Source organism: Homo sapiens, chromosome 3 (assembly GCF_000001405.40).
Source record: "Homo sapiens chromosome 3, GRCh38.p14 Primary Assembly".
Classification (NCBI taxonomy): Eukaryota; Metazoa; Chordata; class Mammalia; order Primates; family Hominidae; genus Homo; species Homo sapiens.
This window is the reverse complement of record NC_000003.12, coordinates 32,051,419-32,077,850: the sequence shown is the minus strand read 5'-3', so window position 1 is coordinate 32,077,850 and position 26,432 is coordinate 32,051,419. Positions and strand designations below refer to the sequence as shown.

Here is a 26,432-nt window from a genome sequence, read left to right as displayed (position 1 = left end):
ACTCCTTTCTGAGAAGGAGTGGAAGTTTATTTAAAAGGCTTCAGAACAGGAAAGAAAGGAAAAGAAAGTATGCTGGGAAGAGACCCAAACAGGCACAAAGGTCAAGTGTGACGTTTAACTGCATCCTAGGACTTTATAGGCTCGCCTCTTTCCCATGATTCTTCCGTTAGTGTGGGCTGCCCGCAAATGCAGCGCCCTCCTTACCCTTGGGAGGTGAGCATGTGCAGTGTGTTTAGGAAGTTGTCCACATGCCCACCTGAGGCTTTCTTCCTTTTTCCAGTGGCGTGCCCCTGGAACGTTGTGCACCACCATTTTGACTCTTTTAATGTGCATGCCCAGGAAGCTGCTTCTCCCTGGAGTCAGTATTCAAATCACACTTTACTGCAACAGGTGTGGACCATCAGGAAACGGCCTCTCCCCTGGCGCCTGGCTCCCAATTCACCACTTTTAGAGAGGTAATGTGATAATTACCGAACATTCCTAGTGGGTGGGGGAGAGTGCTCTCCTGCCCTGTTGATGCCTGGTTAACTACCTGTAACATTAGCACAGGCACTCTCAGAGCAGAGTTTAGATGACAGTGAAACATCCATTGCAAAATTATAACTGAGACCGTGAAAGAGATTTGACCTAACCAATTCCATCTTGCTTCTAACTTCTAAGCTATCCTTGTTCATTCCTGGGCTTAGGCTGAACTAACTTTGGGAAGAACTTAGTTTATAGTTTAAAACAAAGACGATAATAGCCCTTTCCCAAAACAAACCCCTTTCTTGCCTGGGGACTAGGCTGACTTTGTAGGGCTAACAAATTGGCCAAAAGATCAGATATTATGGTTTAGGAGTCATACAGCTGGGGGCTACAAGATTCTGACTCTCTCCAAATTGTTCTTGGGGATAATATCAGTGCTTTATTTTGCAAAATATCAGTGGATATTTTGCAGACCCTGCACTTGATGGATCAGCTTGCACCACCCAGATCAATAAACTGGCTCATCTGACCTTGTGGCCCCAACCCAGGAATTGACTCAGCCACAAGAGGACAGCTTGGCTCCCTGTAATTTTGTCTCTGACCTTACCAATCAGCACTTCTGACTCACTGGCCCCCCACCTACCAAATTATCCTTAAAAACTCTGATCCCTGAATGCTCAGGGTGACTAATTTGAGTTACAAAACTCTGGTCTCCCGCACAGCCGGCTTTGTGTGAAATACTCTTTCTTTATTGCAATTCCCCTGTCTTGATAAAACGGCTGTCTAGGTGGTAGGCAAGATGAACCCATTGGACAGTTAAAAAAGTTTGTCAGGCGAACAGGGAAAGGATCCCCTTTCTCTGACCAGATGCCTTAAGGTTGTGTCACGCGTGTCCGTGTGAAGAGACCACCAAACAGGCTTTGTGTGAGCAACGAGGCTGTTTATTTCACCTGGGTGCAGGCAGGCTGAGTCTGAAAAGAGAGTCAGCAAAGGGTGGTGGGATTCTTTTTTTTTTTTTGAGATGGAGTCTCACTCTGTTGCCCAGGTTGGAGTGCAGTGGCGCAATCTCTGCTCACTACAAGCTCTGCCTCCTGGGTTCACGCCATTCTCTTGCCTCAGCCTCCTGAGTAGCTGGGACTACAGGTGCTCGCCACCTTGCCTGGCTAATTTTTGAATTTTTAGTAGAGACGGGGTTTCACCATGTTAGCCAGGATGGTCTCGATCTCCTGACCTCGTGATCCACCCACCTCGGTCTCCCAAAGTGCTGGGATTACAGGCGTGAGCCACCGCGCCTGGCCATATCATTAGTTCTTACAGGTTTTGGGATAGGTGGTGGAGTTAGGAGCAATGTTTTGCAGGCAGGGGGTGGATCTCACAAAGTACATTCTCAAGGATGGGGAGAATTACAAAGAAACTTCTTAAGGGTGGGGGAGATTACGAAGTACATTGATCAGTCAGGCTGGGGCAGAAACAAATCTCAATGGTGGAATGTCATCAATTAAGGCTATTTTCATTTCTTTTGTGGATCTTCAGTTGCTTCAGGCCATCTGGATGTATATGTGCAGGTCACAGGGGATATGATGGCTTAGCTTGGGCTCAGAGGCCTGACATTCCTGTCTTCTTATATTAATAAGAAAAGCAAAACAAAATAGTGGTGAGGTGTTGGAGCGGCAAAAAATTTTGGAGGTGGTATGGAGAGATAATGGGCAATGTCTCTCAGGGCTGCTTCAAGCGGGATTAGGGGCTGTGTGGAAACCTACAGTGGGAAAGATTCAACTGAAGAAAGATTTTGGGGTGAGGGGTGATATTGTGGGTTTCTTAGAAGGAGGATTTGTCATATAGAATTATTGGTGATGGCCTGGATGCTGTTTTGTATGAATTGAGAAACTAAACGAAAGACACAAGGTCTGAATAAAAGAAGGAGATAAAAAGGTATTAAAGGACTAAGAGTTGGGAGTACCCAGGACATCCAATTAAAGAGTGTCCAAGGGGGTTCAATGTTATTGTTTGCTTGGTTGGTGAGTTTTTGGGCTCTATCCTTGAGTTTTTTTATGTTGTCATATACCAGACCAGATTGATTTAGGTAAAAACAACACTCTTCATTTAAAAATATACAGAGTCCTCCTTTTTCAGCAGTGAGTAAATCAAGGCTTTGGCGGTTCTGGAGGACAACTGCAGCTAAAGGGTCAACCTGGGCTTGAGGAACAGATAAAGTTTGTGATACATCTGTAATGCTAGTGGAGAAGTCATTAGAGAGGCTGCAGAATGTTGTGACAGAGGTTGAAATGCCTGCTATTCAAGTTCCAAGTACAATAGTGGAAGCAGAAAGTCGTAGACCCACAAGTAAAGGGATTAGTCGGATGACTCTTTTTGGTCGTGTTGGCGTCATGAGGGGGACCCGCAGTTGTTCATTCCCATCTGCAAACTGGATTTTGGGGGTAAGGAAGACTAGAGTACATGTGCTTGTCCAGTTGGCAGGTAGGCACATGTAGGTGGAAGAGCCGCATAAAAAGAAGAGACCTTGTGTCAGGCAGAACTGGAAATGTAAAGTGAAAAGGTTAGAGGGTGTACTGAAAGAGGAATCCTGCACCCCAAATCCTAGAGATCCAGCAAGGGCAGCAGCTGTTACAGATTGTAATGGGGATTGATGGTGCAACTGCATAGAGGGAGGGGTTCGGTTTTCATGGTATATGAGAAAGTGCATAGTGTCTACAAGTAACCTTTCACTGCTATTCATGGGGCTGGGTATAAGCAAGCAAGAGGAGGGGCTAGGAGGAGATTCAGATGAGCAGGGGGAGGGTAGCGAAGGATGCAGTGAGATGCAGGGTAGGTGTCTTCCTAAACAATAGTGACTGCCAATGTTTTTCAGTTTGTCAGTAATGATAGAGGGCTTATCAGTAACGTGAAGTTGGAATGCTCCCATCTGTTTGGTAATGTGTGTGGCTGGGTTCTGGAGATAAAGAGTAAAGGAACATTTGGACAGTGGAAGGTTGCCTAAAGGGATTCCAGTAGGCTGTTGTCGAGAGATGCATAAAGGAGTGGCAACAGGGATAGTTGTTTGCGTGGTTAGCAGTCCAAATATGGGGGCGTGGAATTGACATAAGGAGAAAGGTGCCGTAAGTAGATGCGGAGAAGTGTGACAGCTTATTGATGTGAAATGTCTGGGGAGTTCTCACCAAATCTGTCTAGAAAGTAAAGAAGTTCCTCAGGCGGGTAAAGTGAGGGCTATTAAAGGAGGTTCTGAGGTGCAGGGAGGTGGGAGAGGTAGCCCAGTCGGCCTGTAGAGCGGGGATGGCTGTGTAAGAGCAGGAAGAAAGGGAAATGCATAGCCAACAATTCTTTGCTAGAGAAGGATTGGCGGCAGTGAGGACAAAGTGGATGAGATTGCTAGTATGCTGGAGGTAACTAGGGAGAGGTAGAGAGTGGCATAAGAATGGGAATGAGAATAAGAGTGAGTATAAAAGTAAAGGATAGAACTTCATCAGGGCGGAAGTATTGGAGGGTGCCCTGTCAGAAAAGATCATCTATCCACTCCAAGAGGGAGTCAAGAGTGGCGGTTTGGGGATAGCACCAGGAGATATCAGCTGTGATGGCTTGGAGAAACAATGTAAACCGGCAGTGTAAACAAGAGCAGGTCATTTATGAGTAGTTGAGAATGGTGAATAGGAGTATGGCTAGACAGAATATAGAAGGGATGACAAGTTTTTTGGGGTGCAGTCCAAGTAGTGGGGGTGACTGCATAAAGCCCCGTTGCAAAGAGTAGCATAAGGATGGATAGACCTAATAAATGAAGGGATGTATTAGGCTCATAAGGGTCATTACTGTTCTTCAGAAATGTGAGTGAGTTTAGGGAAGTAGGGGAGAGTACTTGCAATTTCCAGGAGGAAGAGAAGATATCAGGCTGTCTGTCTGATGGATACAACTTTATTCTGGAACAGTGAACCCAATGGGGAGGGTCCTGCAGGTGGATGGCAGTTGGAGTACTATAGATGACTAAGTGGGGTCCTGTCCATCGAGGTTGTAGAGTTTGAGGGGTCAGATTCTTAACAAGAACTGATCGTCCAGCTAGGGTGTCTTCATATGGCTGGGAATCTGGAGTAGGCAAGAGAAGATTAGCAGCCTGGTGAATGTCCTGTCTAGCCTGCTGGAGGACTGGAAGATAGTTGCCTAGAGGGCTGGTGTCTGGGATGAGGTTTGGGCCGAGTAAGAAAGTGCATCCATATAAAAGTTCAAATGGACTGCACCCTGTAGCGTCTCGAGGACAGGCTCGAATTCTGAGAAGGGCAGAAGGTCAAAGTACTGTCCAGTCCTTTTTAAGATGGAGGCTGAGCTTGGTGAGGTGTGTCTTTAAAAGACCATTAGTCTGTTCTACCTTTCCTGAAGATTGAGGACGGTGAGGGGTATGAAGGTTCCACTGAATACCAAGAGCCTGAGAAACTGCTTGGGTGATTTGACTAGTAAAGGCCGATCCACTATCAGACTGTATAGAGGTGGGAAGGCCAAACTGAGGAATTATGTCTGACAAAAAGGAAGATAGGACCGCGGTGGCCTTCTCAGACCCCGTGGGAAAGGCCTCTACCTATCCAGTGAAAGTGTCTACCCAGACCAAGAGGTATTTTAGTTTCCTGACTCAGGGCATGTGAGTAAAGTCAATTTGCCACTCCTGGGCGAGGGTGAATCCCCGAGCTTGATGTGTAGGGAAGGGAGGGGGCCTGAACAATCCCTGAGGATTAGTAGAATAGCAGATGGAACACTGAGAAGTGATTTCCTTAAGGATAGATTTTCACGATGGAAAGGAAATGAGAGGTTCTAAGAGGCGGGCTAGCAGCTTGTAACCTACATGGAAGAGGTTATGAAATGACAATAGAATAGAATGGGCCTGTGAGGCTGGAAGGAGATATTTTCCTTGGTCCAAGAACAATTTGCTTTGTGTGGGAAGAGATTGATAGATGGAAGTTTCAGTGGGAGAGTAGGTGGGAGTGACTGATGAGAAGGAGAAAAACTGGCCGTGAGGGACAGAAGTTGGAATGCTAGCTGCTTCTTTAGCTACCTTATCAGCATAAGCATTGCCCTGAGCAATGGGATCTGATGCCTTTTGGTGGCCCTTGCAGTGTATGACTCCAGCTTCCTTGGGAAGTAAAGCGGCCTTGAGAAGCATTTTTATTAAAGAGGCTTTGACGATGGAGGACCTTTGTGTAGTAAGGAAACCTCTTTCAGCCCATATAACAGCATGGTGGTGCAGGATATGGAAGGCATATTTAGAGTCAGTATAAATATTGACGCGTAATTCCTTTGCAAGAGTGAGGGCTTGAGTGAAGGCAATGAGTTCGGCTTGCTGAGAGGTAGTAGAGGGGGGCAGAGTGGTAGCCTCAATGATAGATGTGGAAGATACTATAGCATAGTCTGCCTTTGCTGGTGAGTGGCAATTAGGCCTGGTGGAACTGCCATCAATAAACCAGGTGTGATCAGGGTGAGGAACAGGAAAGAAGGAAATATGGGGAAATGCAGTGAATGCCAGGTGTATCAGAGAGATACAGTTATGGGGGTCAGGTGTGGTATCAGGAACAATGTGGGAGGCTGGATTGAAGTCTGGGCCAGGAACAATGGTAACTGTGGGAGACACAACAAAGAGTGAGTACAGCTGAAGGAGCCGGGGAGCAGAAAGTATATGTGTCAGGTGTGAGGAAGAAAATAGATTTTGGAAGTTATGAGAACTGTAGAGAGTGAGTTGAGCATAGTTTGTGATTTTGAGGGCCTCTAAAAGTATTAGGGTGGTGGCAGCCGCCGCATGGAGACATGATGGCCAGCCTAAAACAGTAAGGTCAAGTTGTTTGGACAAAAAGGCTACAAGGCGTGGTCCTGGTCCTTCTGTAAGAATTCCGACTGCACAGCCCTGCACTTCAGCTGTGTGTAATGAAAAGGGTTGGGATGAGTCAGGGAGAGCTAGTGTGGGAGCAGTCTGTAAAGCTGTTTTCAAGGAATGGAAACAGGAGTGGGGAAAGGATTTAGGATTTATGAGGTCAGCTAGGTTTCCTTTTGTGAGTTTATGTAATGGTTTTGTTAGGATGCAAAACCAGGTATCCAAAGGCGAAAGTATCCAACCATGCCCAGGAAGGAAAGGAGTTGTTGTTTTATAGAAGGAGTTGGGGTTTGAGAGATCAGTCAGACCCAATTGGCAGGGAGAGCACATGTGTTTTTATGAAGAACTATACTTAGGTAGGTAACAGAGAAGAAATTTGAGCTTTGGAGGGGGATACCTGATATCCCTTGGAGAATAAATGTTGAAGGAGCAGGAGGGTATCTTGTTGAGAAGATTCAAAGGAGGGGCTACAAAGTAGAAGGTCATCAATATATTGAATAAGGTGAGAAGCAGAGGAGTGGAAAGAAAGTAAATCATGAGAAAAAGCTTGGCTGAAGTAATGAGGGCTGTCCCTGGAGGCTTGCAGCAGTACAGCCCAGGTAAGCTGCTGGGACTGATGGGTGTCAGGGTCAGTCCAGGTAAAAGCAAAGAGAGGCTGGGATGAGGGGTGTAGGGGAAGAGTGAAAAAAACATCTTTAAGATCAAGAACGGAATAGTGAGTTGTGGAGGAAGGTATTGAGGACAAAAGAGTGTATGGGTTGGGCACCACAGGGTGGATAGGCAAAACAATTTGGTTGATAAGGTGCAGATCCTGAACTAACCTGTAAGACTTGTCTAGTTTTTGAACAGGTAAAACGGGAGAATTGGAAGGAGAATTTATAGGTTTTAGAAGCCCATGCTGTAGCAAGCAAGTGATAACAGGATTTAATCCCCTTAAAGCCTGTTGTAGGGTAAGGGTGATTAGGTTTTAATGGGATAGTAATGGGCATGTGATCAGTTGCCAGGGAGGGAGTGGAGGTGTCCCATATTTGTGGATTAAGGTTGGGGGATATGAGAGGAAGACACGAAGGAGGCTTTGGGTTGGGAAGAAGGGTGGAGATAAGATGTGACTGTAGTCCAGGAATAATCAGGGAAGCAGATAATTTGGTTAAAATGTCTTGACCTAATAAGGGAACTGGACAGGTGGGGATAACTGAAAAAGAGTGCATAAAAGAATGTTGTCCAAGCTGGCACCAGAGTGGGGTAGTTTTAAGGGGTTTTGAAGCTTGGCTGTCAATACCCACAACAGTTATGGGGGCAAGGAAAACAGGCCCTTGAAAAGAAGGTAATGTGGAGTGGGTAGCCCCCATATCAATTAAATAGGGGACGGACTTACCCTCCACCATAAGAGTTACCTAAAGCTCGGCGTCCGTGATGGTCCAGGGGGCTTCCAATGTGATCAGGCAGAGTCAGTCTTCAGCTGCTAAGCTGAGGAGATCTGGGAAGGAGTCAGCCAGGGAACACTGGGTTTGGGCTCCAGAGGCTTTAGAAGCAGCGGCGATGTGAGTCGGAGAGTCCAACCTCCAGTGGGGACCCACACAGACAGGGCATGTCTTAGGAAGAATCCTGGGCTGCGGGCATTCTGAGGCCCAGTGGCCAGGCTTTTGGCATTTGAAGCAAGGTCCACGAGGATGTTTTGAAGGAGCCCCTGGGAGCTATGGCTTTGATGTTCTGAAGTTCTTATATGCTGGAGCCGTGGTTGTGGGTTATCTTACATTGGAAGCAAGTAGCTGTAACTCAGAAATGCATTGCTGTCTGGCTACCGCCTCTCTATTATTGTACACCTTGAAGGTGAGGTTGATTAATTCCTGTTGTGGGGTTTGAGGGCCGGATTCCAATTTTTAAAGCTTTTTTCTAATGTCAGGAGCTGACTGGGTGATAAAATGCATGTTAAGAATAAGGCGGCCTTCTGGACCCTCTGGGTCTAGGGCGGTAAAGCGTCTAAGGGTTGCTGTTAAGCGGGCCATGAACTGGGCTGGGTTTTCGTCTTTACCTTGGGTAGTTTCTTTAAGTTTGTCATAATTAACAGCTTATAAGCTGCCTTTTAAAGCCCTTCAACTAGGCAGGAAACCATGTAATCTCGCCTAGCTATACCTGGGGAATCTGCCTGGTAGTTCCATTGGGGATCTTCTCGGGGAACTGCTCTAATGCCTTCCTGGAGGTCTGGCTCATGAAGCTGGTGGTTATCAGCATGAGATTGGGCTACAGAAAAAAACTCTTTCCCGTTCATCTGGGGAGAGGGTAGAAGTCAGGATGACATTTAAGTCACTCTAAGTTAAATTGTAGGACAGAGTTAGATATCGGAATTCCTGTATATATTTAGTGGGGTCTGATGAGAAAGAGCCTAAACACTGGCTGATTTGTGAAAGGTCTGATAGAGAAAAAGGCACATGTACCCTGACTATGCCTTCAACTCCAGCCACCTCTCTAAGAGGAAATTGTTGGGCAGGTGGGGGAGAGCTAGTTGCAGAATGAAACTGTAAACCAGACCGGGTGTGGGGAGGGGAGGTAATAGAAGGGTTATAGGGTAGGGGAGCAGGGGCTGAACAAGAGTTGGAGCCTGATTCAGCCTGACGGGGAGCGACCTGAGGAGGAGCAGTCTGGGGAGGAGGTGAGAGGTCAGATGGGTTAGTAAAAAAGGAAGATTCACAAGACTCAGTGACACTTGGGGTTGGGACTGAAGGGACAGGCAGGAGGGAAAGAAGGAGGCTTTGGGATGAGTTGCATTGGGAACAGAGACTAGGGAGAGAATGAAGTGTGAAAAATGCCTGGATGTAAGGCACCTCAGACCATTTGCCCATTTTTCGACAAAAATGATCTAGGTCTCGTAGGATGGAGAAATCAAAAGTGCCGTTTTCTGGCCATTTAGAACCATTGTCAAGTTTGTATTGGGGCCAAGCAGTGTTGCAAAAGAAAATAAGATGCTTAGATTTTAGGTCAGGCGAGAGTTGAAGAGGTTTTAGGTTCTTGAGAACACAGGCTAAGGGAGAAGAAGGAGGAATGGAGGGTGGAAGGTTGCCCATAGTGAAGGAGGCAAGATTAAAGAGAAGGGTAGAGACACGGAGAAGGGGGGTGGGGAGCAGCCCTGGGCTGCAATGTGGGTGAGCAGCCAAAGCAGGCATCCCTGCAATTGACTTGCCACCAAGGGAATGTGGGTGAATGACCAAGGCAGGCATCCCTGCGGTGATCAGACACCAATGGAATGTGGGTGAATAATCAGGCAGGGGTCCCCGCAGTGATTAAACACCAAGGGAAGACTGTCTTCCCGAGTCCGTGACTGGCGCCGGAGTTTTGGGTCCACAGATAAAATGTGTCTCCTCTGTCTCTACTAGAGAGGAAAACAACTGGAATTGGAAGGAAAGAGAGATTGAAGGGAGTGAGAGAGGCTGGAGAAGAGAGTGAAAAGACCGCTTACCTGATTTGAAATTGGTGAGATGTTCCTTGGGCTGGTTGGTCTGAGGACCGGAGGTTGTAGGTGGATCTCTTCACAGAGTGAGGGTGAGGACAGGGAACTGGTCTCTTGAAGCAGTCCCTCTGACCCTGGTCTTCAGCACCAAATGTCATACGCATCTGTGTGAAGAGACCACTAAACAGGCTTTGTGTGAGCAACAAGACTGTTTATTTCATGTGGGTGCAGGCAGGCTGAGTCTGAAAAGAGAGTCAGCAAAGGGTGGTGGGATTATCATTAGTTCTCATACGTTTCAGGATAGGTGGTGGAGTTAGGAGCAATGTTTTGTGGGTAGTGGGTGGATCTCACAAGGTACATTCTCAAGGGTGGGGAGAATTACAAAGAAACTTCTTAAGGGTTGGGGAGATTACAAGAACCTTCTTAAGGGTGGGGGAGATTACAAAGTACATTGATCAGTTAGGGTGGGGCAGAAACAAATCACAATGGTGGAATGTCATCAGTAAGGCTATTTTTACTTCTTTTGTGGATCTTCAGTTGCTTCAGGCCATCTGGATGTATATGTGCAGGTCACAGGGGATATGATGGCTTAGCTTGGGCTCAGAGGCCTGACAGGTTGTTTTTGTAATACTTAGATTCTATTTGTCAATGCAGATCCCTGAATATCACTAACTCAACCAACTGAAAAGACAAAGCTGAATTTATTGCTCCTCAAGATGAGAGAACACGACCCTCCACAGAGCTTTGGCAGTGGCTCTGGGTTCCACAGAAGGGGTCCCTTCCCAAGGGTCCCACTTGGGAAGGCAAGATATAAATTGACTTAGAATTGAGACTGTCAAAAGACAAAATTACAAAAAAATTTAAATTAAAGATCTAAATGGGTTTTAGATCTTTTAGTCATTGAATTGGCAATTCAACATCTCATCTGAAGATTTTTTTTTTAAAGGTGTTCCATTGGTTATAGAAGAACAGTCAGTTTTTATAAGGTTGCTTAAGCAGGACAAAGGTAACAGCATAATCCAAAAACAGTTTGGTTAACATCAGGTCACTTCAAGTTACTTTCTTTATAAGAGTTAAAGCAGAAGGAGCCTCGTTATCATGCTGTCTAAAACTGGCCCATTTGGGAATTTGGCTATCATCTCTTCTGATCTTTTAGAAGATCAGATAAACAACTTAGTTTCAGAACTTTAGCATGAGTGACTCCATTTTGGTGTGGTTTGTTGGGGCCAATCACAGGAGCTCAGTCCAAATCAATGACCTCCCATAAATTTCATTTTTCAGGAGTTTTGTTTAAGATGGGCCTTTCATTGTGGGTGACGTTATTAGGATTGGATAAAGATAACAATACAACTGTCCAGAATTGGTAAGGAATTTGAAGCAAGAGATTTAAAGAATCTTAGGTTGCAAACTGTCTGTTGATGATTTTCACTGAGGAGGTGATGGATCTTGGTTGGCTTGGGTACTCTCGGCATGGCAGACTTTTCTGGCATGGCCAAGCTGCTCCTGTCACTGAGTTTGCAGGAGGAGGGCAAGTTTCTAATGGAGGTGGTACAGGTTTGCTGTGCTAAAGAAACAATTATTCATGACACTTGTTAAGGATAGTAAGGCTGCCTTTATTCAACGGGACCATGGTGATCGGTATAGGGACCATTACAATGTGAGATTGGCTCAACTCAGACTCCAACAAGGACAAGTGGAGATTTATAACCAAAGAGCAGGGTAGGGGCAGTGGATGGAAAATTACTAAGGGGAAATATCAAGGATAAGAGGTTTCTGGCTAAACTGACTTGAAAGGATTATTGCTGAAGGCAGGCTAGGGTGATAATATAGTGAGGGTGGTCAGATTGCAAGGGTGGGGGATGTCCTTCCTTCCTTCCTTCCTTCCTTCCTTCCTTCCTTCCTTCCTTCCTTCCTTCCTTTCTTCCTTTCTTCCTTTCTTCCCTTTCTCTCTCTCTTTCTTCAGGGTCTTGCTCTGTCGCCCAGGCTGGAGTCTAGTGGCGCAATCTCTGCTCACTGCAACCTTGCAACCTTCTCTTTCTCTTTCTCTCTCTCTCTCTTTCTTTCTTTCTTTCTCTTTCTTTCTTTCTTTCTTTCTTTCTTTCTTTCTTTCTTTCTTTCTTTCTTTCTTTCTTTCTTCTTTCTTCTTTCCTTCTTTCTTTCTTCCTTCTTTCTCTCTCTTTCTGTCTCTCTTTCTCTCTTCTCTTGCTCCGTTGCCCAGGCTGGAGTCTAGTGGTGCAGTCTCTGCTGACTGCAACCTTGCAACCTAGGCCTCCTGGGCTCAAGCGATCCTTTGGCTTCAGCCTCCCAAGTAGCTGGGACCACAGACAGATGCCACCATGCCTGGCTGATTTTTGTATTTTTTGTAGAGATGGAGTTTCACCATGTTGGCAAGGCTGGTCTTGAACTCTGGGCCTCAAGTGATCCACCTGCCTCAGGCTCTCAAAGCGGGGGGATTATAGGAGTGAGCCACTGTGCCTGACCTGGGGATTTTTATTAAACTGACTACACAGGATTCTTGCTCAAACTGGATTCTACAAGGACAGAGAGAGAAGCCCAAGGGCAGGCCTAGTCAAGCAGAGGCCTCAGAGGAGCCTGGCCAAAGTTCTGCTCAAAGGATAGAGTCTTTGTCAGCCCAATGACAGGAGCAAGAAAAACTGTCTTCTGGAGTTATCTGTGTAGGTCACATACCTCCAGCGCTTTATGAAACCCAGATCTGAGCATATTTCTCCAAGTATGACATGATTACAAGATTCAAGCTCTCCAGAAGTGGAAAGCCTGAAAATGCCAAAACTATGCTTTTGTGGAGTTTGAGTCTAATGATATTGCTAAGTTGCCAAAACAATGAACCGCCTTTTTGGTAAAAGACTCTTCAAGTGTCATTTTATACCACTTGAAAAAGTACATGAAGAACTTTTCAGAGAGTGGAGTGTTCCATGTAAAAAGCCATCATATCCAGTGAAATGAAACAGTCAGAATTGAACACTTTTAGAAAAGCTGCAGATAAGGAGCTATTTAAAAAGAAAGAAAAATTACTCAGGAAGAGATTAGCCAAGAAAGAAATTGATTATAATTTTCTTTCACTGATTTAACAGAAAAAGGAAAAAAGAAATGTTTCGAGCACTGATTTTCAGAAATCTGCAAATAGTCATGTTTTACCTAAGAAGAAGAAAAAGGAGATTTTAGGCATGCCTAAGAGAAAGGGGGAAAAAAACAAAAAAACACACATGTATCTAGGAAATGTGAGCCCTTTAAATTATGAGGCCCAGCAAGGCATTTAAAATGTAACAGCAGTTATGTAGCACTTCCCCTTGAGCTAAATCATTACTTCTTGAAGCCACTTGCTATTTGGGCTCTAGACTAACTGACATCAAGTAGCCATAAAATGCCATGCAACCTGTAATTCAACACAAGCCAATCACGAGTCAATGTTATTTCTGTAAACCAATGAGAATGCCTGATGAACAACTTTTATAATCGTCTCCTCTCCTGATTCATCTTTTTTTTTCTTTAAAAACTTGAGATTCTCTTTTGTTTTTCCAAGCATTCACCAAGGCAATTTGGAAGCATGTCCCTAGCTGCAGTCCTCAACATTTGTGCTTGAATACATTCTCTTTAAGCTACATTCTGACCCTTTTGATTATTTCAGGTTGACATCTAACACTCCTGAAAAGATGGTGAAATATCAGGGCTTCATATTAGTTTGTATATCAACATGTTTGCAGAGACAGAAATCTGATGTGACATAGGTGAATGATGATGATAAAGATAATGAAATAGTTTTCAAATAGCACATATCTGGTATAAAAAAAGAAATACTGGCCAGGTGTGGTGGCTCATGCCTGTAATCCTAGCACTTTGGGAAGCCAAGGTGGATGGATGGCTTGAGCCCAGGAGTTCGACTCCAGTCTGGGCAACATTGGTGAAACCCTGTCTCTGAAAAAAATACAAAAATTAGCTGTGTGTGGTGGCTCATGCCTGTGGTCCAGCTACTAGGGAGGCTGAGGTGGGAGGATTGCTTGAGCCTAGGAGGTCGACACTGCAGTAAGCTGTGAGCATGCCACTGCATTCCAGCCTGGGCAACACAGTGAGACCCCTGTCCCAGAAAACAAAACAAAACAAAAAACATGAGACTGTATTAGTCCATTTTCACACTGCTATAAAGAACTACCTGAGACTGGGTAATTTACAAAGAAAAGAGGTTTAATTGACTCACGGTTCCACATAGCTAGGGAGGCCTTAGGAAACTTACAATCGTGGCAGAGGATGAACAGGAAGCAAGGCACGTCTTACGTGGCAGCAGGGGAGAGACAGCGAGAAAGTGGGGAACTGCCAAACACTTTTAAACCATCAGATCTTGTGAAAACTCACTCCCTATCATGAAAACAGCATGGGGGAAACTGCCCCCATGATCCAATCACCTCCCACCAGGTCCCTCCCTTCACATATAGGGATTACAATTCAAGATGAGATTTGGGTGGGGACACAGAACCAAACCATATCAGACTCAAACACCTACATGTCACTTGCCTACATCTCCCTGATAGCCCAGGGCCAAATTTGCACTGAATCTTCCTTAAAAATTTGACGAGGAAGGTTCTGCCCTCCACCCCTAGTGTTGGTCTGTTCACCCTGGGCATCAACACTCTTTGATATGTGAAAGCTCAAAGTTCCTGAGCTGTGGAGCCAAGAAGCTGAACTCTGAACTTCTACCTAGAAGCCTTCCTAGTCTTCAACATGTGGCTCTAAACCCCTTGCTTCCCCATCCCTGACCTGTCCCACTGCAGGATTAAATGGGAAGTGGTTCATTCTTCCTGAGGCTGAAAATAGTCAGCAACCACTCTCCCCTGAGAGCTGGATAAGTATTATTCCTCCTCCAGGGGGAATGTAACATTGTGTTATTCTACTCTTGAAACATGTCCAAGTCGATTCAGCTACCAAGAGACAAAGTTGAACCCAGAAATGATTCAGGACTGCAATTCAAGTTTTATTACATCCCACTGCAAGGTCTTGGAAAGATTGCTCTTATGCTCATCAAGACCAGGGAATACATAAATATTTTCAGTACCTAAACTGCTGTGGATTGACGTTATCCAAGATACATGACAATATCAGGATTTGTACTCGGGCAGTACATTAAAAGTAAGAAGTAGTGGAAAAAGGAAGACTTTCTATTTTAAAGGATTGATTATCTTGCGTACCTCTGAAACAGCTTTAAAAATAGCAGGAATGGCTTTTATTTTTAAATTTCAAAGATTTGCAAAACCTGTTGGGGGATAAAAATAGGAGATTAAGGATTTGAACATTGACAAATGCTACTGTCCTGTTTGTCTGGAAATCCATAATACATCCACAAGTCCTTTGCTGGTAGCCTGGCAATGCCAGGCTGTTGGCTACATTAGCACAAATCCAGGTCTGATTCAAGAAGCCCATGCTCCCAGCCCTTGCTGTCCCCTTTTGAGCTCTGTATCCTTAGGCAAGTTTCCCTATCTGCGCTCAGAGTTTTGTCTGGACCAGCATGAAAGGACTTTCTAAATCGTAAAGATAGCTTATATTAAACAAACATCAGAGATTGTGATTGAAAATACAACTGAAATCCTATAGTGAAATTACCATCAGATAAAAACATACCATAGCCATACAAACATACTGGGCCATACAAACATAGCCATATAAACAAACCAGGAGTGGTGGCTCATGCCTATAATCCCAGCACTTTGGGAGGCCAAGGCAGGTGGGTCACCTGAGGTCAGGAATTCAACACCAGCCTGGCCAACATGGTGAAAGCCCATCTCTACTAAAAATACAAAAATTAGCTGGGTGTAATGGTGCATGCCTGTATTCCCAGCTACTTGGGAGGCTGAGGCAGAATCTCTTGAACCTGGGAGGTGGAGGTTGCAGTGAGCCGAGATTGTGCCACTGCATTCCAGCCTGGGCCATAGAGCGAGACTCTGTCTCAAAAACAAAACAAAACAAAAAACAACAACAACAAAAAACCAATAAACCATACCATAGATTAAAGAGAACCTTATAAAAAAGGACCTGTAGTTGGGTCTCCATGTCCGTTGATACTGCATCTGCATATTCAACCAACCATGGTTGGAAAATATTTGAAAAAAAATTAAAAAGTGAAAAATAACAATATAGCTTGACATAGTGGCTCATGTCTGTGATCCCAGCATTTTGGGAGACTGAGGCAGGAGGATTCCTCGAGCTCAAGAGTTTGAGGCCAGCCTGCTCAACACAGTAAGACTCTGGCTCTATAAAAAATAAAAAAATAAGTCAGGCATGGTGGCACAAGCCTGTAGTCCCAGCTACTTAGGAGGCTGAGGTGGGAGGATGGCTTCAGCCTGAGAGGTCAAGGCTGCAGTGAGCTGTGATCATTGTGCCACTGTACTCCAGCCTGGGCCACAGACTGAGACCCTGTCTTAAAAAACAAAAAAGGATTGATCCTCTTTGCTTCTCTTCCTCTTCTCTTCTTTTTTCTCAAAAAAATAAAAAATAAAATAAAAAAGAAGTTGCTAGACCCAGCAACCCGTGTGCAAGACTTGCACCCTCCTTTGGTATGGAGAATGCATTCATTGAACGAGTTTTAGAATGTAGAGGACCTTAAGGTTTTCCTCAAGGGCTTCACCTTAAATAGTGCCCATGAAGTATTTTATCATAATCGATAAATAACTTTCATTAAAGAAGCAGTCATTCATCTCATCTCTCACTTATATAATAAATATATATTGAGCTCCTACCAGGTGGCCTGGGCTGGGTACTAGACATATAGCAGTGCAAGGGAAGATGCCTTCCTTGTACCCACAGTGCTTATAGTTTATCTGAAAGACAGATATTAAACAAAGAGTTACAATAAGGTGAGAGGGGAGCTGTGGGGTGCTCAGGGGACAGAGCAGAAGGGCCTAACTCAGTTTAGCTTCAATAGAGGACTTCTTGAAGAAGTGCCTGAGGAAGCACATGAGTTGGTGAGATAAGAGGAAGAGAGTGATGTGTGAGGTCTGGGAGGGGAAAGAATGGGGCTTGTTTGAGGAACTGAAGAGGGGTGATTGTGTCGAGGGACAGAGCAGGAGCAGGGGGTCCTCTGAGGGTTTTTTTTTTTTTTTTGAGGCGGAGTTTTGCTCTTGTTGCCCAGGCTGGAGTGCAATGGTGTGATCTCGGCTCACCGAAACCTCCGCCTCCCAGGTTCAAGCGGTTCTCCCGCCTCAGCCTCCCGAGTAGCTGAGATTACAGCTGAGATTGCCACCACGGCTGGCTAATTTTGTATTTTGAGTAGAGATGGGGTTTAGTAGAGATGGGGTTTCTCCACGTTGGTCAGGGTGGTTGCGAACTCCCGACCTCAGGTGATCCACCCAGCTCGGCCTCCCAAAGTACTGGGATTACAGGCATGAGCCACTGTGCCTGCCCATGGAAGTGGGTTTTTTTAAAAGCTGGGGAGCAACACAATCAAATTTGCCTGTTTGAACTTAATTCTGGCTGCAATGGAAGAGAATGCTTGGAGACAATTGGAGATGAAGAGTGGGGATATTATTGCTCTGGGAGAATAAAGGTGCCTGTGGCTAGGTTAGAAGTGGAAAGCAGTGGGTGAAGTTTGGATAAACAGTAAAATCAACCATTTTTGGTATATGAGCATTTAAGCAGGGTTAAGAAAGGACAAGAAGTTGAGAATGATGGCGTTCGGCCTGGGCATTTGATGGACAGCGAGACAGAGAAAGATGGATGAGCTTATTGGAGGCACACTGAATTAACCTACTTGTGTAGTAGTTGAGGGCAACAAGATGCAAACTGGTGCCAAGGAGGCCGGATCTTGCCTGCAGAGGAATTTAGCCAGCATTCATTCATCATTCAGTTTGTTTTAAAATTATTTGAAGACATACATACTTCAGTATCATTCTCTATCCATACATATACAGATCTTGCATTCTATTTTTGTAGTTTTTTTGTCAGAAAAGGTGCATACAGAAATGTATATATACCGTAAGTATATATATATATATATAGCTCATTGACTTTTCACGAAGATAATTTCGTACCTGTGTAACCACCAACCAGATCACAGAACATTACCAGTGCTCCCAAAAGCCCCCTCATGCACTTTTTAGTCATTACCTCCACTCTCCTGGCTTCTCGAACCCTATATTAATTTAGCCTGTTTTTTTTCTTTCTTTTGAGACAGGGTCTGGCTCTGTCTCCCAGGCTGGAGTGCAGTGGTGCAGTCTTGGCTCACTTTAACCTCCACCTCCTGGGCTCAATCAATCCACCCATCTCAGCCTCCCAAGTAGCTGGGACTACAGGCATGTGCCACCATGCCTGGCTAATTTTTTTTATAGAGATGGGATCTCACTGTGTTGCCCAGGCTGGTCTCGAACTCCTGGGCTCAAGAAATCCTCCTACCTTGGCCTCCCAGAGTGCTAGGATTACAGATCTGACCCATCATGCCTGGCCTAGCCTGTTGTTGTTGTTTTTTGTTTTGTTTTGTTTTGTTTTTTTGAGATGGAGTCTTGCTCTGTCACCCAGGCTGGAGTGCAGTGGTGCGATCTCGGCTCACTGCAACCTCCACCTCCCGGGTTCAAGCGATTCTCCTGCCTCAGCCTCCGGAGTAGCTGGGATTATAGGTGCCCACCACCACGCCTGGCTAATTTTTTTTTGTATTTTTAGTAGAGGTGGGGTTTCACCACCTTGGCCAGGCTTGTCTTGAACTCCTGACCTAGTGATCCACCCACCTCGGCCTCCCAAAGTGGTGGGATTACAGGCGTGAGCCACTGTGCCCGGCCTGTTGTTGTTTTGAGACAGAGTCTTGCTCTGTTGCCAGGCTGGAGTAGAGTGGCATGATCGTGGCTCACTGCAACCTCCACCTCCCAGGTTCAAGCGATTCTTCTGCCTCAGCCTGCCAAGTAGCTGGGATTACAGGCATATGCCACCATGCCCCACTAATTTTTGTATTTTTGTAGAGACAGGGTTTCATCATGTTGGCCAGGCTGGTCTTAAACTCCTGACCTCGTGATCCACCTGCCTCAGCCTCCCAAAGTGCTGGTATTACAGGTATGAGCCACCACACCCGGCCAGCCTAGCCTGTTTTTAAAATCAACGTAAACCAGGCATGGTGGCACATGCTTGTAGTCCCAGCTACTCTGGAGGCTGAGGCAGGAGGATCCCTTGAGCCCAGGATTTCAAGACCAGCATGGGCAACATAGCGAGAAGCTATCTCTACCAAAAAAATAAATAATTAGTTTGGCATTGTGGTGCATACATGTAGTCCCTATGGCTACTCCACAGACAGAGGCAGCCACTGGGAGGCTAAGGCAGGAAGATGACTTGAGCCCAGGTCAAGGCTGCAGTAAGCTATGATGGCACCACTGTATTCCAGCCTAGGCGACAGAGCATGACTCTGTCTTTAAAAAACAACAACAACAATTCATAAGCATGCATCATTTAAAACATTTTGAATAGTTCAGGCTGGGTGGGGTGGCTCATGCCTGTAATGTCAGCACTTTGGGAGGCCGAGGTGGGCGGATCACTTGAGGTCAGGAGTTCGAGACAAGCCTGGACAACATGGTGAAACCCCATCTCTACTGAAAATACAAAATTAGCCAGGTGTGGTGGTGGGCACCAGTAATCCCAATTACTCAGGAAACTGAGGCAGGAGAATTGCTTGAACCCAAGAGGCAGAGGTTGCAGTGAGCCGAGGTCATGTCTCACTCCAGCCTGGGTGACAGAGCAAAACTCTGTCTCAAAAAAACAAAACAAAACAGAATAGTTCAAAGAATAGTACAGAGAAACCCATATACCTACCAACTAGATTCTATAATTGATAACATTTTGCTAAAGTTGGTTTATCACATATCTATCCCTCTATCTATTTTTCAAATGCATTTTGAAGTTGCAGACATTAGGGCATCTCATCCCTAAACATGTCTGCATTCATATCATTAACTAAAGTTCAAGGTTTCTTTATAATTCTCTTTTATGAGGTAAAACTAAATGCAGTGATATGCACAGATCTTATGAAAACTATTAGATAAGTTTTCAATGTCAATGGTCTTCATTTCCTGATAGTGCCATGAATTATTAATTCTTTGAATTATTCTTATTGTCATACCCATACAAGTCCATGCAGTTAAAAATCAATGTCATTCTTGCCACAGGCCAGTTCCTTTGCATAGGTTGCCCTTCCTCAAGTGCCAGAGCTAAAAGTTTATGTGTCTCAGCTGTGTACTTCCACCTCCTGGGTTGGTCCCCCACCTGAGGGCCTCTATGTTACTCTTGACTCCCATTGTAGGTCTAGATAATCTGAGGCAGCAAACAATCCAGAGTAGTGATATGGTTAGGCTTGTGTCCTCACCCACATCTCATTTGAATTATAATCCTCATAACCCCCACAAGTCAAAGGAGAGACCAGGTGGAGGTAATTGGATCATGGGGGCAGTTTCTCCCATGCTATTCTCATGATAGTGACTGAGTTCTCATGAGATCTGATGGTTTTATAAAGGGCTCTTCCCACTTCGCTTGGCACTTCTTCCTGCTGCCCTGTTAAGAAGGTGCCTTGCTTTCCCTTTGCCTTCTGCCATGATTATAAGTTTTCTGATGCCTCTCCAACCACGCTGAACTGTGAGTCAATTAAACCTCTTTCCTTTATAAATTACCCAGTCTCAGGCAATTCTCTATAGCAGTATGAAAATGGACTAATACAAGTAGATTTTACTAATCCCAGGGTCAATGGCATGACTGTTATGGAAAGGGGTTCTGATCTAGATCCCAGGAGAGGGTTCTTAAACCTCACGCAAAAAAAAATTGGGGGCAAGTCTATAAAGTGAAATCAAGTTTATTAGGAAGGTAAATGAATAAAAGAATGGCTACTCCATAGACACAGCAACCGCATGGGCTGCTCTACTGAGTATACTTACAGTTATTTCTTGATTATATGCTACACAGAGGTGAATTATTCATGAATTTTGCAGGAAATGAGCAAAGATTTCTTGGAACTGAGGGTTCCTTTCCACTTTAGACCATATAGAGTAACTTCCTGATGTTGCCATGGCACTGGTGAGAGTGTCTTTTAGCATGCTAATGCATTATAATTAGCATATAATGAGCACTGAGGATGACCAGAGGTCACTTTCATTACTATCTTGGTTTGGATGGGTTTTAGCCAGCTTCTTTACTGCATCCTGTTTTATCAGCATGGTCTTTATGACCTGTGTCTTGTGTATCTTTATGACCTCTTATCTCATTCCATGACTAAGAATGCCTAACCTTCTGGGAATGCAGCCCAGTAGGTCTCAGACTTATTTTACCCAGCCCCTTTTCAAGATGGAGTTGCTCTGGTTCAAACGGCTCTGACATATGTCCCTCCTCCCTTTTACAAGGGTTGCAGAGGGACGAAGGTCCATCTTCTGTAATTTCTTCGGGCTGAATAGGGGCAATGATATTTCTGCCTAAGTATCAGGGTCTCTTGTATTCAGGGTAGACAGGAGCTCAGTCAGAAAGTGTAGGTATGGCAAGGGCCATTCGTATCTCTTGAGTCTGACCAAAGGTGACATCTGGAAGATTAAAATGTTCAATTTAAGCAAGCATACAGTAAGCTTATCCTGCATTCCTACACAAAGAGTACAACAGCAATATACTCCACAAGAGTAAAGCAAAATAAGCAAACTATCCCAAGTAAACTAAATAAGAAGGCTTTCCATGAACTGGGCAATTGTTGGAACCCGGCTGATATGAAGTCTCTGGCTGATTCCAACATGTACCCAGAATTATAACATTGATTCAGATTTTTACATTACCTATCCCTCTTGTTTCTTCTGAGCTGCAGTCAGAAATCACTAGTTGGTTCACAGAAATAAGCAGGGTGAGTCTAAATTGCAGAAAAAAACTCAAAAACAACTGATAAGACCGGAATCTAATAAACAGGTGTATCATGGTTCTTGAGACATAATTTTTCTCTCTCCAGTTCTTATTTTTATTAAAAGCAAATCATGATAGGACTGATTTGTTTACAAAATAAGCTTTGATCTTATTATACCTGGCTTAATTATTTGTAAAAAGTGCAGCAAGAATAATTATTTGTCACATAGGCTCTTTTTAATTGGTTTTGATGGAACTTTGTTTCATAAGGAATCTCAGATAAGACCTTTTTTAAAGCCAAGGCCAGCCATGGGTTTACACATACAACCATCAAATACCTGTATGAGTTGGTCAAATTCCTTTCCTCTTGAGCTCCCAAGATAACTTGGGGCTCCTGGGCCTGTCAGAAGTGGCATTCTTTACTTACCACAGATTAGGGACCCTGTACAGGAACTGTGTAGATGAGATATGTGGCCAGTTTTCCGAAAGGGCTTTTATTGGTTCTATAAGTCAGGTTTGATTCCTTAAAGGAAAGCAGGCGATTCCAGTCAAAGCCTAGGTAAAATAATCAATGTCTCCAATTGTGTCTTGTTACAAGAGAAAACAGATTCTTATTGCACTTATGCAAATAACTATATTGATAAGAATACTCACAACTAGTTTCCAAATTTTAGAGAAATCAAGTGGAGAGAAATATAATCCAAGTTTTGTTTATAGGAGTATACTTTACTAAAATGTTAAAAGCTATAAATATGGCTCATGCCTGTAATCCCAGCACTTTGGGGGGCTGATGTGGGTGGGTCACGAGGTTAGGAGACCAGCCTGGCCAACATGGTGAAACCCCATCTCTACTAAAAATACAAAAATTAGCCCAGTGTGGTGGCATGCACCTGTAATCCCAGATACTCATGAGGCTGATGCAGGAGAATCACTGGAACCCAGGAGGCAGAGGATGCAGTGAGCCGAGATCCCGCCACTGCACTCCAGCCTGGGCGACAGAGCGAGACTCCGTCTCAAAAAAAAAAAAAAAAAAAAAAAAAAAAAAGCTATAAATAGTTCAAAAGTTTTCTTGGTTCTGAAAAACAAAACAAAGGATCAGCAAAGTTTTAAGCAAAAAGTCATAAAAGGATTATTTCAGTCTTCTATTAGCTTAGTCCATGCAGTTAACTCCTGTTCTTGATATTCATGAACATTTCAGCTCTTCATGAGAGTCCTGAAAGTTTTTTCCTATATTCTAATGTTGCAGTCTCCAAAGTTATCAGAAACCTGCATTCAAGAGCACCTGTCAATGTCCTATACCCGTCAAAGTCCTATAAACCACCTTATGTAGAGGATCAAAACGAGAGAACAATTTTCTGTGAATGACCAAAAGTCTTAGTTAGGACAGCCACTATTAAAGCCACAATTGCTGGGCACAGTGGCTCATGCCTGTAATCCCAGAACTTTGGGAGGCTGAGGCAGGTGGATCATGAGGTCAGGAGTTTGAGACCAGCCTGACCTATGTGGTGAAACCCCATCTCTACTAAAAAATACAAAACTTAGCTGGGCGTAGTGGCCCGCCCCCGTAATCCCAGCTACTTGGGAGGCTGAGGCAGGAGAATCGTTTGAACCTGGGAGGCAGAGGTTGCAGTGAGCCAAGATTATGCCATTGCACTCCAGCCTGGGTGACAGAGTGAGACTCCGTCTCAAAAAAAAAAAAAAAAAAAAAAAGCCACCATTGACCAGGAAATGTTGGTTACTTCTGTGGCATACAACAATTTTATGTAATAATATAACTATTAATAACATACACTAAGTCATATAAGAATTATAGGAGTTTCAAATAATTTTGGAACACATACCAATAACATATACAAATACAACCCAAAGAAAGTCAAATACCATTTCATATTTGACAATGCTTCCTGTGTGATTTTTATACCAAATAAGCCAAATATGTCTCTTTTGGACTTTAGGGGACCTAATATCTAAAAGATTAATTAGATCAGAAAAAGACATAATTTAGAAAATGATTTTGGAAAGTTTATTAAATATCAAAGATTTAAGCACTTGATATTTTAAAATAGAATCCCAGGTTACCATAAGTCATTCACTTGGTCAAAATGATAACTCAAAAATTTTGTTAAAGGCAGAAAGCTTTGCTCATTGATAGAGGGAAGATTTAGCTTTCCAAACAATCTGTCTCTTGTCTTTCCCTTCTTTTTCCTGTAGCTTATTCAAAAGTCAAACAAAACCCAAAAATTTCTTTCTTTCTTTCTTTTGTTTTTTTGAGATGGAGTCTTGCCCTGTTGCCCAGGCTGGAGTGCAGTGGTGCAATCTTGGCTCACTGCAATCTCTGTCTGCCTCCCGTGTTCAAGTGATTCTCTTGCCTCAGCCTTGAGATTACAGGCACATGCCACTACACCCAGCTAATTTTTGTATTTTTAGTAGAGATAGGGTTTCACCATGTTGGCCAGGCTGGTCTCAAACTCCTGACCTCCCGTGATCCACCTGCCTCAGCCTCACAAAGTGCTGGGATTACAGGTGTGAGCCACAGCACCATCCTCATTATTTTTTTTAATATTACATGAAAATCTTATTCAAGAGAGAAAGCCAAGTTTCACCCTTGCATTAGTGTACTACTGATATCAAACCCAGGTCTTAATGAAAATTCATAGACACATCTATCCAATTTTAATGTCTGACCATAAGGTAAGAGCCTCATAAACCTTTGATAACCCTTTACAATTTTTGTAAAAGAGCAGATTAGTGCTCTAAGAAAACCACATTGTGCTTTTATTGCAATGTCCAATTTACAGAAAAACTGAGTAATACCCCTTTAACTTTAGCCAGTATGTTCACACACAGAATTTCTTTTATAAGGTTAATTTTTCACAAACCTTCCACAACTTGCTCAAACCTTCAGCTTTATCCTAATATAACTTAAAACAATCCTTTAACCCTTTAGTTGAAAAATCCACATTCCCATGCCTTCTTATAACCTTTTACCAAAAGGACGTTTCACTTTCCTCACGTGCCTTGCATGTAAAACTGTTTCTTTACACTTTATACTGTTAACTCTTAGCAACTTTTACTTTTGGTGAAAAACCTGGTAAACAAGCAATTAGAATTATGTACTAGGTGTGGAGCCTAGGACACCAGACAGAAGTGCAGATAAGGTCTGACTCTTTCCAGCATAGCCAGGGGGCATAGGTAACTCCACATGTCCCCAGGCCTTACCTAGAATCTACTGGCTCCAAGGCAGGTAAGTCAATCAATTTTTTTTTGATTGTTCTGTAAGTTCTGGGATATATGTGCAGAACGTGCAGGTTTGTTACGTAGGTACACATGTGCCATGGTGGTTTGCTGCACCTATCAACCCATCATCTAGGTTTTAAGCCCCGCATGCTTTAGATATTTGTCCTAATTCTCTCCCTCCCCTTGCCCCCAACTCCTGACAGGCCCCAATGTATGATGTTCCCCTCCCTGCATCCATGTGATCTCATTGTTCAACTCCCACTTGTAAGTGAGAACATGCAGTGTTTGGTTTTCTGTTCCTGTGTTAGTTTGCTGAGAATGATGGTTTCCAGCTTTATCCATGTCCCTGCAAAGGGCATGAACTCATCCTTTTTTATGGCTGCATGGTATTCCGTGGTATATATGTAGCACATTTTTTTTATCTAGTCTATCTTGATGGGCATTTGGGTTGGTTCCAAGTCTTTGCTATTGTAAATAGTGCTGCAATAAGCATATGTGTGCATATGTCTTTATAGTAGAATGATTTATAATCTTTTGGGTATATACCCAGTAATGGGATTGCTGGGTCGACTGGTATTTCTGGTTCTAGATCCTTGATGAATCACCACACTGTCTTCCACAATAAAGTCAACCAATTTTCAAAAGTCAAAGAAGCAGTTTATGACATTAAAGCATTTAGCAAATCTAATCTCTGACCTAATTTAAACCAAATATCTAAATTTTATTAATCTTTATTTTGCTTTTTTTTTTTTTGTGACAGGATCTTATTCTGTCACTCAGGTTGGAGTGGAGTGGTGTGATCTCTGCTCATTCCAACCTCTACCTCCCAGGCTCAAGTGATCCTCCCACCTCAGCCTCCCAAGTAGCTGGGACCACAGGTGCATGCCACCACACCCAGCTAATTTTTTGTATTTTTGGTAAAGGTGGGGTTTTGCCATGTTTCCCAGGCTGGTCTTGAACTCCTGAGCTCAGGTGATCACCTACCTCAGCCTTCCTAATGCTGAGATTACAAGCATGAGCCACTGCACCCGGCCTACCAATAATCTTGAAAACTGTCTTTATTTCCCAAAGCTTACTAAAGTCATGTGAACTAAAAAGCATTACAGTTTTTATTTTTCTGACAAAACATTTGAATTAAGTGCTTATTATTTTTAAGCCAGTTAATTAGATCTCTTTCATACATAGACATCACACACACACCACATATAAATACGCAGACAGACAAGAAGATCTAGTAGTTGTAGGATTTTTCATTTGCCAGTTTTTTAGTTTCTTAGTTGGATTACTGGCTTCAGGGTGGAACCATTCAAGAAACAGGTCTAGGAAAACATGCAGTTTCTAGGACCTAGTAAGCAGGCATGGCTGGAAAGGAAAATAGATCCACAAAAATTAAGGGTCTCATTTTTATACCAGATCCTGGATCTCCAAAGAGAGGGAACTAGCCCATTTCCCATAGGAGTCTTATCTCTCAGTGGGGGGTGAGGACATTTTACCATAACTTCCAGGTGGCCAAGAGCATGCTTCTCTAATCCAAACATCAAAGAGCTGAGTATCCCCTGATAACTGCCATTAGCTATCCCC

The 26,432-nt window shown here is 43.8% G+C and overlaps 1 protein-coding gene and 1 pseudogene across 4 annotated transcripts in view; both read left to right on the top strand.

The window, feature by feature from the left end:
- Positions 1 to 158: 158 nt before the first annotated feature.
- OSBPL10 (oxysterol binding protein like 10) overlaps positions 159 to 26,432 on the top strand; it is a 416,868-nt gene continuing 390,594 nt past the window's right edge. For 2 of the 4 annotated variants that reach the window (XM_047447389.1, XM_047447385.1), the window contains exon 1: positions 272 to 455. The gene's annotated coding sequence lies outside the window, so the exon portion shown is untranslated. Of the gene's footprint in view, positions 456 to 26,432 lie in introns of all 4 variants that reach the window. The other 2 variants (XM_047447390.1, XM_047447386.1) reach the window with 2 other exon arrangements.
- NIFKP7 (NIFK pseudogene 7) lies at positions 11,240 to 13,877 on the top strand (annotated as a pseudogene).